Genomic DNA, 15,308 nt, shown 5'->3' on the forward strand with positions numbered 1-15,308 from the left:
TAAATGTGGCGCCTCCCCTCTCACTCTCTTTATTGCTTCTGCTCATGCCATGTGACACTCCTGCTCCGCCTTCACCTCCTGCCACAATTAAGGCCCTCACCAGAAGCCAAGCAGATGCCAACACCATACTTCCTGTACAGTCTGCAGAACCATGAGCCAATTAAACCTCTTTTCTTTATAAATTACCCTCTGGCATTCCTTCTTAGCAATGCAAGAACAAATGGACACAAGGGGCTTGAGAGAGGGTCACATAGTCAGGTTTGCCTTTTATGGAGACCACTTTGATAGTGACTTGGGGTGGCTCTGGGAAGTTGAGAGGAGGTAGGAGACAACAGGACAAGTTAAAAAGAACAAGGGCTTGAATGAAAGCAAGAGCAGTGGAGCTGGAAAGAGAGGGATGGATTCAAGATAGCTGGGAAGGTAAAGGATCTGTCTCTGTGATGAGGAAGTGTAAGAGAGAGCGAGGCTGGGTAGGCTGTCTGCAGCTAGAAGCTAAGACAGAGTTTGGAATGCAAGATGCTTATTAGAGATCAAGCTCCACAGAAAGCAGGGGAGGCTGCAGGAGGGAGCAGAGGCAGAAGTGGGCTGTGACCCAGGCCCCACACACCTCGTCCTTCCAAGAGTTCTGGAGAAAGAGTGCCATCCACAGAGAGTATCCCCTGGCCTGCAGGGCTCCTCATTCACTCTCACGCACTCCCTCACTCTCTCCCACATTCACCTCTTTAGTGTGGGCTGCCCAGGGAGGAACAGCCTCCAGCAGGTGGCACCCCACAGCTGAGCACCCCCAGAAAAAGTTGATGTGAAGGCTGTGTGCCCATGGCACCCTGCAGCCCAGCCTCTCCCAAAGAAAGGAATGCCAAGCAAAGCCCACGTTTCTAACTTGGACCATTGGGTTGAGCTGAATGTTAGCCATGAGGATGAGGAGCATCCCCATGACAGGCAGGTCATGGGGAAAGGCAAGGGCTGGGCTTGAATGTGTGTGAGGGGTGGGGATCTTCCATGTAGAGATGGCCAGAGCCGAAGAGCAGTCAGGGCTGGAAGTGGAAACTTGCAAATGCCAGACTTCCCAGATGGGAGCTAAGAAAAAAAAACGGTCATAATTTGGAGAATAAATATGGAAACCTGGTTTGATGAATGTCATGGAGGAGAGTTTCAAGAGAAAAACCAGTGATAGTTAACAAATGTAATGATGACAGTCATAACCACCTTGACTGAGTGTCCCTAGGCACCAATGCATGCCTGCTATAGAGAGATATAGATAGATGGTTTACAGCCTGTTTTGAATGAAAAGAAACCAAGAATCAGAGGAGTTACAAAATGTGCCAGAGCCACACTGGGTGAGTGATATGGTTTGGATTTGTGTCCCTGCCCAAATCTCAGGTTGAATTGTAATCCCCAGTGTTGGAGGTGGGGCCTAATGGGAGGTGACTGGATCATGGGGGCAGTTTCTAATGGTTTAGCTGTCCCCCAGTGCTGTCTCATAATAGGATTCTCACAAGATTTGCTTGTTTAAAAGTATGCAGCACCTCCCCCTTTGCTCTCTCTTCATCCTGCCCCTACCATGTAGATGTGCCTGCTTCCCCTTCACCTTCCGCCATAATTGTAAGTTTTCTGAGGCCTCGCCAGCCATGCTTCCCATACAGCCTGCAGAACTGTCAGCCAATTAAACCTTTTTTCTTTATAAATTACCCAGTTTCAGGCATTTCTTTATGGCAGTGTGAGAATGGACTAATACAGTGAGGAACTGACAGAATAGTCTTACTCCAAAGCCACGTTCATGACCCAGCATCACCCCTATTCAGACAGCTTGTGTAAGGTACCTGCTGAGACCCATCCTTGGCAGGTGGTGATCAGCCATCACCCGACATCTTAACAATGGGGATGGAGAGGCTTCTGCTTAGGTAGCAGGATGGTGCCAGCTGAATGAGACCAGAAATGAATGAAAAGATCATACTTTCCAAAAGATGGAATGAAATGAAAGGTGGGACATAGGGTAGTAGCCAGCAGTAGAGCAGAAGAGTACAAAGCAGGGGATGGAAGAGTTAGGAGTGTGTTTAGGGGCAGGGAGCAGAGCAGAGTGGGAGAAATCAATGCAGGAAGGAGACAGGTCAAGAGCCTGGGTAGCTCTTGCCCTGTGGGGATGGTGGGATATCTCATCCTCTGGTGGGAAGGAGGACTTGATGAGCAGACCATTCAGGGTCCAAAGTAGGAAACAGGAGTCCCTCCCCTCTGAAGTGGTTCAAAGGCAGAGACTTTAATATAACAGACATAAAGATGAGGTTAACATAGCCCCAAAGGATGGTGATATGCCAGGGATATATCATCTCTGAGTCACAAGACTCAGAGGCCATCTCCAGCTCCAGGACCAAAGCAACAGAAAGGGAATTGAGTCACTGGAGCCAGGAGAATCCCAGCTGGAACTTTGGAGTGGAGGTTGTCAGAGGCAGCTGAAGTTTCAGAGGGCAAAAGTTACTGACAGAGAGGAGGCCAGAGAGGGGAAATACCCAGACTGTCTCTTTCCCTACTCTTATCTCCTGTTGGTGCCTCCCATTGGCCACATCCATGGGAAGCCAGAGGTCCAGGGAGCTTGGTGATGGGACCATGGGGAGAGGCAGCCCCCAGGCACAGAGCAGACTGGAAGGCTGAGGGGAAGTGCATGCTGAGTGTGTCTGCACGTCAATTTGTCTGTGGCGATGGTAGGAAGCTCAAAGCTTTTATGTCTGATTTGGACGTTACACCTGACTTTCACCATGAATAAAAGGCAGGGATGTACTTAAAAAGTGAGATGATTTCATTTCTGTAAGGCATTTGAGTTGCAGTTGAAGGTACAGAATGGCCACTGAGGGGGGCGAAAGGTGCTGCCAATGTGTCAGGATAAGCAAGGGATTGCTGCATGGCACCATGAACCAGTCATAGAGAGCCCAGATATGGGCATCCATCTGCCTGTTTATGAAATGGAAGACAGTGAATCATTAGCTACAGGGTCCATTCTAGGATGAAGGCACGGGAGGGAGGGCCTGGAGGACACAGCCAGCAGGAGTCAGGAATGGATGTGGGGTAGAGAAGGATAGGATGGCCACTGAAGGAGGATCAAACGCAGGCACAGTGCTCTCAAGGCCCTGGGAAGATTGCAACCTGGGGCCTTGGGGTGCACATCATGGAGAGGTGCATGGGAGCAGGTCCCTAATGGTGCCTCTTGAGGTGTAGGTGGGGAGAAGGATCAGCCTCACCACAGTGTTGGGGGGTGGGGAGTTCCAGTTTTGTTGAAGCCAGAGTTTGGAGTCATCCTGGGAGGAGGCTGAAACAGAAGAGAGCTTCTCCAGGACAATGTGGGAAGGGTGAGATGGCTGGGCACTCAGGGAAGAGCAAATGAGGGCACAAGTTGTTTAGAAGACAGAAGAGCCACACCTCATATTGACAGTAGAGGGAGGGGTACCCAGGCAGAGGGGCAGACGTACTCTTTGCAGGGACCCTCAGGGGACCACATGCCCATTCCCTGTTGTGGGAATGGAGAGCAGGACTGGATGTAGGAATACCTGTGGTTAAGAATAATCTGGAACAGGGCTCCCAACAGTGGAACCCAATGCTTCAGCACCAAGGAGAGTTCCTCACAACTGGAGGCCGGGGCCAGGCTCCCTGTCCTCAGAGAAGGGCCTTGAGCCTCAGCCAGCTCCAAGGATGGGTCAGAGCGCTGGCTCACCAGCCCTCATCGCCCTCCATATTCTGTATTTCTAAGGTTCCAATGACGTAAGTTTCAAATTATCATCCCTCCCTCCAAGCAGCTTCAACTCCCCACACACATGTGGGAGTTGGGGTGGGAGCCACAGTTCCTCAAAGGCTACTGCTCACTGGGCCTGGCACCATGCTGAGTGCTTCCTGTGGGTCCATTATTCCTCATGACCCTACGATGACAGTCCTATTATCACCCCATTTTACAGATAAGAACAATGAGGCCAGGAGAGACCAGGTGACTTTCTAGCAGGCAACAGAGCAGTGAGTCACACCAAAGCCAGCCTGACCCAGTGCTCCCACAAAAATAACACACAAAGAGGGTCCTCATTCCAGCTCTGCCACTGCTCAGTTCCCACCCTTATGAAGGGAGAAAAAAAACACAGCCTACCACTGCCTTACACTGTTGCCATGGTTATCAGACGGCAGAACACAAGAGCCATGTGGGCTCAGCATGAGGTATTTTTATTATTATTGGGGAAAGATCGACATGTCACTGCCTACTTTTTTACTGTAAAGTAATAATTTATAATTGTATACATGTACAGGCCACAAAGAGATGTTATGATTTATGAAAACAATGTAGAATATTTCAATCAAGCTAGACAACATATCCACTACCTCAAATATTTAACATTTAAGTCACTGCCTACTTCATATATAGAAAAGGGATGAAATAAATCTTGGGAAACGTCCATCCCCAGGCCCATGCTGGCCTAGTTAGGGGAGATATGAGAGGAGAGGAAGAAAACAGAAACATTGTAAAGCAGACAATGCTAGGAAATCAATTCTTGTTTCAGAAGGGAGAATCCCAAGGGACAATTCATCAGAAAAAGAAGAGGGAATTACAAGAATTTGCACTATACGGTATAGCTAGGAGGCCACCGTGTGCTCAAAAATAGTTGCTGGATTGAAATATGTAAGAACCTTATGTCATTTGTAAAACAATAAATTACAGCTTTTCCTGAAGAAGAATTGCTTCATTTAGAAAAATTTAAACGAGACTCTGTATTCCTTTCAGTTCCTTGACTATATGCGTATCTAGTTTTATGTAGAAACAATTTACTGTTTCCTCATTTTCCCTCTAAAAGACCTACTTTTAGAGACGTTTTGTTGTATAATATAATCTCCACAAATACGTTTCACAGCTGAATAATAGTCCATGGTGTCAAGACATGATCATTCCCTTAGGCCCTCTGCTATCACTGGACACTTGGTTGTTTCTAACTTATCAGTACTGCAAATGTTGACATAAAAGAGAGCCTTTGCGCATGCAGCTTTTATTATATCCACTGAATTATTTCTGAACCTAATTCACAAGGAAATGAACATTTCTACAACTCTCGATTGATGTTGCTAAATGTTTTGTCAGTTTTCACCACTGGCAGTAATCACTAGGAGCATATGAATTTTCCTGCAAACTCAGCAGCTTTGGTTTTTGCTATCTTTGCTATCTTCATAGTTGGAAATGGTGTTTCATTGAGTAGTTGTAATATGGTTATTCAAGAATTTGTGGCTTCTGATTGGTGGAAGGAATGTCAACCTTCTCACTATATTCTGACTGGTTGGCTCCAAATAAAAAGTGTAGAGATTTACCAGACCTCAGTGGTAGGCAGTCTGCCTGTGCACTTGAACCTTGCTTAACTTTACCTACACCTTCCATCAACAAATGGCCCTGCAGTTTGAGGCTTCAGTGAGCTATGATTGCCCCACTGCAGCCTAGCTTGGGTGACAGAGTGACAGCCTGCCTCTAAATTTATGTATATATTTATATAATATTATATATGTGAATAAATATATTAATTTATAATTATATAAACATATATTAATTTATAATTATATAATACGTATTTTAAATTATTTTAAATACAAAAAAATTTTTAGTGGCCTGCTCTAAACTTGAGTCTCAGTTCTGGAGACACAGTAATGTTTAAGCTACTTTTAATTAGATCATTTCTGTTGGACTCTGTGTGAGCTTTCCCTACAGTTGTCAAATGTTTACCATTTTTATCTTTCTTGATAAATATTTTTGCACATATAATTATGTATAATATAGTTACATTATGTGATACAATTTATATATATCATATAACATGCTACGCATTAGGATATATACATAATTATATATACTTACACATAACCTATACTGGTATAATATTTATGTAAATTAATTATATGTATTATTTTACTTTCATGTGGTTAATTTATGTGCATAATTATATATTCATATCCATAGAAAGCCTACATTGGTACAATATTTACATATGTTCTATTTGTCTTTCATATAAGAATCAGTAACAGTGAAACAGGGGCGTCAGTCTGTAGATAGCAGACACTCCAGAAAGGCCTTCCCTACCTGAAGAACTTAGAGAGGCGGAGACCACCAAGACTTTGTGTTTCCCACTACAAGCCACGAGCAGCCATTCCATGTTCTGTGGTTCTCAAACCTAAGCAAGCTTCCAAATGCTCCAGCAAGCTCTTTACCCACAGACCGCTGGTCCCACCCCAGGGTTCCTGACTCAGTAGGTGTGGGTGGCTCCCAGGTGATGGCAGTGATACTCAGTTGATTCCCACCTAAACAAGGCCTTCTGACTGCTCAGCCACTGTGCAATTCTGTAATTCCAAACTGAAAATAAAATTTCTGGACACATTCCAAGCATAGGATAGAATAGACTGAACATATCTGCCTGCCCAGAATCTGGGGAACAGCAAGATGGTCAGCCTTGAGAGGGCTAGCAAGACAAAATCCTAGCAGAGCTGCTGACACAGCAGCTTCGTGGAGCTCAGGAGAACCCCGTGACGCAAAGTCCCTCTGCAACAGAGTTCCCAGCCCTGGCCACATCCTAATTTAAAAAGCCAAGAATTTAAACCAAGAACCCCTCAAAATAATAGGAATAGCCAAAAAATATGTGCCAGGCACTCTTCTAAGTACTTTAAATGTGTTTTCACGCTAATGATGTAGGTACTGTCATTATCCCTGTTTCACAGATAAGAAAACTGAGGCATGGGGCAGCTAAGTAACCTGCCAAGGTCACAGCCAGTTAAGGCTATAGCCAGGACTCAGCTCCAGCCACTCTGACTCCAGGCTCAGCTGTGAATGACTGACCTCTGCAGCTTTAGGAGTGAGTAACACCGGGTACTTGGGAAGTAAGTGCAAAAGCAGGGCAGGTGCTAAAATGAGGAGGCTTGGATGGAAGCCTGTTTAAAAAGCAGTTTGATCTCCCCAGTCCCCTTCCCACTCTACACATCCAGGCCATAGGTGACCACCAGTATGATTTCTTTTATTTCTATGAAATGTTTAGACAAGGCAAATCTATTGAGACAGAAAGCAGATCAGTACATACCAGAGGCTTGGTCCAGGGCAGGATCAGAAACTGATGACAAAGGGTAAAGGACACATTTTAGAACTGGATTGTGGTGGTGGTTTTATAATCCTGTAAGTTTACTAAGATATTGAATTGTACATTTGAAATGAGAGAATTTTATAGCATGTAACTCATGCCTGAAAAAAACCTGTTTTAAGAAAAGGTGTGTGGAAATACATTTATAAAAAACAGAAACTAAGATATTACTTTATATAAAACCATTTCCATTGTGATTCTCCCAGTGATATTATGGGCTAGGCCTTATAATCATTTGTTTCTCATACAAGATGTTACATCAAGTCAGCTGCCCTGCACCTTGCTAGCAGCGTAGCTGTTGGGGTGGAGTGGCGTGAGATAGGGAGAAAGAGATCTGACAAAATAAAGGATCTGCAACTTTAGCAAAAGAGAGATAATTATTAAGTTGTTGAAATTAAGTGCCCTATACTTTGAGGTTTCTCTGAAGGAACTGTACCCATGACATTAAATTTTGCAGTAGAAGTTATTCCCTTAGGGTACTTCTCAACATTAAAGGTTAGTCAGTGGTGGTGTGACTGACTCCCATCTGGAGAGAGTCTTGGAGTGTGCAAATGTGGAATGATAGTCACAAAAATATAACATTGAGAGAATAATTCGCACAAAAACTAATGAAAATTGGTGCCTAATATTAATCCATGACCTACCCTAAAAAGTCATTTGTTTAAAAACTTGAACAATTTTTGTGTGACCTTCTTGCAGGTTTTGCTGATTGTGTTTGGTTTTCCTGGCAGCTTTTATCAAACCAGAAAAGTATAATATCTTTAAAGAGTTAGGATGGATTTAAAAGGAGATGACTGCATTTAGCATCACCTGAAATCTCCCTTTCAAAGACAGAGAATAGCAGAGAACTGATTGATAATAACCTGTAATGCTACATATGAATAATATAATAAAACATGAGTGATAGATAATGATCTGTAATACCACAGTAATCTGTAATGCTATACGTGAATAATATATGAGTGATATATAATCTGTAATACATATGTGAACATTTTCATACCCTGAGCCTGCAGGCTACTGTCTGATAATATTTAGTTGTGATTATAGGTTAGCATTGCCTTGTATTTCCCTCCCTGCATTAGACACTGGCTCTAGGGCTGTGTTCCAGGAGGAGACAGCCTTTCAAATCCAAATGTTCCAAATGGGGGTTTAGAACAACCGTTACTTAATACTACCTAGTATCCACGCCACCTGTAATGACTATGTTAATTGATAGGAGAATAAAGCTATAGGTCAACATGTGATTGGCTTGGTATTTTCAGGATAGACTAGGTTATACTATGGCAACAAAAGACTTCAACATCTCCATGGCTCATTTACTCCTCTCTCCACACATCCATCCCTGGTCAGATGGGGCTCTGTCCCCTGTTGTCTACTCTCTGGAATGAAGCAGACAAAGTAAACTCTATCTGGACTTTGTGCACACAACTGTATGCAAAAGAAAGAGTGCTGGCAATGCTCATGCAGCCCTTCAAGTTTCCACCAGGAAGCAACATAAATCACAGTTGCTTACATTTCACTGGCCAGAGCAAGTCATATGGCCATGCCTGAGTACAGCAGGGTGGAGCTACACAATCCTTCCAGGGAGGGAGAGCAATGATTGGTGAATGGCAATGCAGTGTTCCACAGCCACTCATGTCTACTGGCTAGGCTGCCCTAAGCATCTCTGTATCTTCATCATCTCAGCTCTGCCTGGAACACATTACAAGCTCATTCACATCTCAGGAAAGACCACCCCAATGTATGGTAATGAATGAAGAACAATAAATCCTAAAGCCACATAGTCCAGAGCTTGACTAAAGAAAGGCCCAGAGCCTTTACTATGAAGGAATGCCACCTACCATGCTCAAGAGCAACGGGGCCTGCCCACATGGCCCCATGACCAAGTGAGAAGATAAATGTAGAACAGGTAATCATGAAATTACGTGTTATAAAACGAGAAGAACAGGGCTTCTGGGATCATTTAAATAGACACCTAAAATACAGGCACACATAAAGAAGAAAATTAAACCATGGCTAACATTGTCTGCTCTTTTATTCTCTGAGTATATTTTTCCACATGAATAAAATCATGTGGCTTCATTTCCCATTTTTTTCATTTAGTGATATGGTGAGTATTTGACCTTACCAAAGGACATTCTTCTAAGAAAGCTACCTTCTTAACCTGGGGTCCATGGAATGTCAGTGGGAGGAAAATGAGTCATTAAGTGTAATTTAGCATTTCAATAACATATAGATGCAGGCAATAGCCACAGTAGTTGGTTATCACAGTACAGTTGCTACATATCTTTTAAAATATCATTTATGTTTCTTACTCCCCCAAAATTATAGTAGTAATAATTACCACCACTATATCTGGATATTTTATGAATTAATAAAGAAGCATCTATATTAGTATATGACATGTTTTTTAATATTGATAATTACATTTCATACACAGTCAGCCCTCCATGTCTGCAAGTTCTATATCCTCAGAGTCAACCAATCACAAATCAAAAATACACTATTTGAGGGATGCAGAACTGATAGATATGGAAGGCCAACTCTTCATATCCACAGGTTTAGCAAGACAGATTGTGGGACTTGAGCATCTGTGGATTTTGGTATCCATGAGGTTGTGAGGGGAGGTGTCTTGGAACCAAGCACCCATGTATACTGAGGGACAACTTAATTGGTTGCCTTTGAAATTCTATAAATTTTATTTTAAGACAGTATTCTGTCTAAAACTATGCTGCATAATGGAGACTTTAGGTCTAAGGATGCACATAGGTTGAAAGTGAAATGCTGGAAAAAGATATTTTATCCAGATAGTAACCAAAAGAAAGAAGGTGTGGCTATACTAACATCAGAAAAATATAGACTTTAAGTCAAAAGCCTGTTACTAGAGACAAAAGGGAACATTATATAATGATAAAAGGGTCAATTCATCAAAAAGATATAATAATTATGAACATACATGCACCAAACATCAAAACTCCTAAATAAATGAAGCAAACATTGACAGAATTGAAGGGAGAAATAGCTCTAAAATAATAGTAGGAGATTTCAATGCTCCACTATCAATAATGAATAAAACCAGACAGAAGATCAATAAAGAATGAGAGTAATTGAACAATGCTATAGACTAAATCAACTAACACACAAACAGAGAACACTCCATTTAACAAAAGGATAATACACATTTTTCTCAAGTACACATGGAACATTCTCCAGGACAGATAATACGTAAGACCACAAAACAAGTCTTAATGAATTTTAAAACACTGAAATCATACAAAGTATTTTTTCTAATTGTAACGAAATTTAACTAGAAATCAATACCAGATGAAAAACTGAAAAATCCACAAATATGAAGAAATCAAACAATACACTCTTAAATAACCAATAGGTCAAAGAAGAAACTATAAGGAAAATAAGAAAATATCTTGAGCCAAATGAAAATGAAAACACAGCATACTAAAGTTTATGGGGTCTAGCAAAAATAGTACTAAGAGGAAAATGTAAACCTGTAAATGATTACATTTGAAAAAAAGAAAAGTAATCAGGCAAGAGAAAAAAATAAAAGGCATCCAAATTGGAAAGAAATAAGTTAAATTGTTCATTTGCAGACAACATGATCCTGCATGTAGAAAACCCTAAAGACTCCACTAAAACGCAGTTTTGAATTATTAAAGAAATTCAGCAAAATTGTGGGATACAAAATTAACATACAAAAATCAGTAGTATTTCTGTACACTAATAGCAAACTATATGAAAAAGAAATTGAGAAAACAATCCCATTGACAAGAGCTACAAATAAAATATTTAGAAACAAATTTAACCGAGGAGGTAGAAGATCTTCATATTGAAACAAAACACTAATGAAAGAAATTGAAGAAGACACAAATAAATGGAAAGATATTCCATATCATAGGCTGGAAGAATTCATATTGTTAAAATGCCCACACTTCCCAAAGTGATCCACAGATTGCATATAATCTCTATAAAAATACCAATTACAGTCTTCACAGAAATACAAAAAACAGTTCTCAAATTATTGTGAAAACACAAAATACCTCAAATAAAGCGATATTGAGCAAAAATAACACAGCTGGAGACATCATATTACCTGACTTCAAAATATATGACAAAACTACAGTAACCAAAACAGCATGATACTGGTATAAAAATATACACATAAATCAATGGAACAGAATGGAGAATACAGAAATAAATTCATATATTTGTAGCCAACTGATTTTCCACAAAAGCATCAGAACACATAATGAAGGAAGAACAATCCTTTCAGTAAGTGGTACAGGGAAAACTGGACATCCACATGCAGAAGAATAAAGGTATACCTCTATCTCTCCCCATATACAAAAATCAACTAAACATGAATTAAAGACTTAAATGTTAGACCTGAAACACTAAAAGTACTAGAAGAAAACATAGGGAAAATGTTTATTAAGATAAGATTAGTCTGGGCAAGAGTTTTTTCAATAACTTGAAAAGCACAAGCAATAAAAGCAAAAAATAGACAAATTAGATTATATGTAACTAAAAATATTCTGCACAGCTAAGGAAACAATCCATGGAATAAAAAGACAATCTATAAAATGGGAGAAAATATTTACAAACTATGCATCTGACATGTGGTTAATATCCAGAACATATAAGGAACTTGAACAACTCAATAGCAAGAAAAAAAAAATCCAATTTAAAAATTGGTAAAAGATCTTTCTTACTCTGTTTGTGTTACTATAAAGGAATACCTGAGTCTGGGTAATTTATAAAGAAAAGAGATTTATTTGGCTCACAGTTCTGTAGACCAAGAAGCGTGGCTACAACATCTGTTTCTGATGAGGGCCTCAAGCTGCTTCAACTTAAGGCCAAAGGCAAAGAGGAGCTAGCATATGCAGAGATCACATGGCAAGAGAAAAAGTAAAAGAGAGAGAAAGGAGGTGCTAAGCTCTTTTTAACAACCAGCAATCATGGGAACTAATAGATCAAGAACTCACTGATTACCTCAAGGATGACACCAAGCCATTCATGAGCCATTCAACACCTTTCATTAGGCCCTACCTCTAATATTGAGGATCAAATTGCTTTCTTTAATTTTATTTTTTTATATTTTGTAGAGAGAGTCTTTCTATGTTTCCCAGGCTGTTCCTGAACACCTACCTCTTGCTTTGGCCTCCCACAGTGCTGGGATTAGAGGTGTGAGCCATCATACCTGGCCAAAGATCAAATTTCAACATGAGGTTTCGGGCGGGGGGGCAAACATCCCAAGTATAGCAAAACCTAAGTAGACATTTTTTTCAAAAGAAGATATACAAATAACCAACAGATATATGAAAAAATGCTCAACACCATGAATCATCAGAGAAATGCAAATGAATATTACAATGAGATATCGCCTCACTCCAATTAGAATGGCAATTATCAAAAAGACAAAAAATAACAAATGCTGGCATGGATATGAAGAAGGAAAATTCTTATATACTGTTAGTGGAAATGTAAATTAGTACAGCCATTATGGAAAACAGTAGGGACGCTCCTCAAAAAATTAAAAATAGAACTGTGTGTGAGTCAGCAATCCAACTACTGAGTATATGTCCAAAGTAAATGAAATCAGTATGTCAAAGAGATATCTGCACTGCTATGTTTACTGTAGCATTATTCACAATAACCGAGATATGGAATCAGTCTGAGTTCATCAACAAATGAATGGATAAATAAAATTTGGTACATATGCACAATGGAATACTACTCATCCACAAAAAAAAGTAAAATCCTGTCATTTGTAGCAATGTGGATGAACCTGGAAGACGTCATATTAAGTTTAATAAACAAGGTCAGAGAGATAAATAGCACATGATCTCACTCATATGTGGAGTCTAAAGAAGTTGATCTCATAGAAGTAGGGAGTGGAATGGTGGTTATCAGAAGCTGGGAAGGGGAGAGGGAGATAAGATGAGACTGGCCAGCGGGTACTATCTTTTGGTTTGATAGGAGGAAAACGTTCTGGTGTTTTATTGCACAGTAGGGTGACTACAGTTAACAATATTGCATTGTATATTTCAAAATAGCTATAAGAAGGGATTTTGAATGTTCTCACCTCAAAGAAATAATAAATGTATAAGGTGATAGATATGCTACATACTCAGATTTGATTTTTACACAATGTATATATGTATCAAAACATCACGCTGTACCTCATAAATATGTACAACTGTTATGTGTCAATTAAAAAGAAAATTTTAAAAGTTATCGCTGTTTCTTTAAAAATCAAAAAAATTACAAATCAACAATCTACCTTAAGGAACTAGAAAAAGAAAAATAACTAAGCCCAAGTCTAACACAAGAAAGAAAACAAAAAAGATTAGAGCAGAGATTAAACAAAATAGAGACTGGAAAAACCACAGAGAAAAATCAGCAAAATCAAGAGTTCGTTCTTCAAAAAAATCAACAAAACAAACGTTTAGCTACACTGAGATTTAAAAAGAGAGAAGACTAAAATAACTAAAATCAGAAATAAAAGAGATTACAATCAATTTTACAGACACTAAAAGGATTATACATAATTGTTATACAATTATAGATCAACAAATTAGAAAGCCTAGATGAAATTGATAAATTCCTAGACACACACTATCTACTTATACTGAATCATAAAGAAATAGACAACCTGAACAAACTTATAACTAGTTATCAGATTGAATCAATACTCAAAAGCATCCCAGTGAAGAAAAGCCCAGGGCAAAATGGGTTTACCAAGAATACTACCACACATCTAAAACAGAATTAACACCAGTTCTCCTAAAACTCTTTCAAAAATTAGAAGAGGAAGAATACTTCCAAACTCTTCTATAAGGCAGCATTGCTCTGTGTGTTAGTCTGTTCTTACATTGCTATGAAGAAATACCTGAAACTGGGTAATTTACAAAGAAAAGAGGCTCATGGTTCTGCAGGCCATACAGGAAGCATGAGGCAGGCATCTGCTCAGAGAAGCCTCAGAAAACTTGCAATTTTGGCAGAAGGTGAAGGGGAAGCAGGCACATCTTACATGGCTAGAGCAGGAGGAAGAGAGAGTGGAGAAGGTGCGACACACTTTTAAAAAACCAGATCTCATGATAACTCACTTTCACCACAACACCACCAAGGCAGATGGTATTAAACCATGAGAAACTGACCCCATGATCCAATCACCTCCCACCAGGCCCCACTTCCAACACTGGGGATTACTGTTCAACATGAGATTTGGGTGGGGACACAGATCCAAACCATATCATCCTGATACCAAAGCCAAAGACACTAATCAGAAAAAGACAGTACAGATAAATATATCTGAGAAATATTGATGAAAAAAATCCTTAACAAAATATTAGCACAGAGAAATCGACAGCACATTAAAGGATTATACACCATGACTAAGTGAAATTTATTCCTAGAATGCAAGAATGGTTCAACATAGGAAAAGCAATCAATATAATATACACATAAACAAAATGAAAGGAAAAAAACCCAACATGGTCATCTGATTTGATGCATAGAAAGCATTCAAAAAATTTTAACACCTTTTTATGACAAAAAAACACTCAACAAACTAGAAGTAGAATAAAACAATCTCAACATAATAAATTCCATATACGAGGAGCCCACGCCTAGCATTATATTCAATGATAAAAGACTAAGAGCTTAGCAAGGACGCCAGCTTTCACCACTTCTACTCAATATAGTACTAGAAGTTCTAGCCAGAGAAATTAGTCAAGGAAAAGAAATAAAAGGCATAAACATAGGAAAGGAAGTAGTACAATTATCCCTGTTTGCAGATGATGTGATCTTATATGTAGAAAATCTTAAGGATTATACACACACACACACACACACACACACACACGCACACGTTAGAACTAATAATCAAATTCAGAAACGTTGCAGGATACAAAGTTAACATCCAAAAGTCAGTGGTGTTTCTGTACACTAAAAATGAACAATCCAAAAAGGAAATTAAGAAAACAATTTCATTTATAATAGTATCAAAAATAATAAAATACTTACGAGTAAACTTAACCAAGGAAGTGATAGAATTGAACACTAAAAACTACAAGGTGTTACTAAAATAAAGAGGACACAAATAAATGAAAATACATCTATGTTCATGGATTGGAAGGCTTAATATTGTTAAAATGT

Source organism: Homo sapiens, chromosome 9 (genome assembly GCF_000001405.40).
Source record: "Homo sapiens chromosome 9, GRCh38.p14 Primary Assembly".
Lineage (NCBI taxonomy): Eukaryota > Metazoa > Chordata > Mammalia > Primates > Hominidae > Homo > Homo sapiens.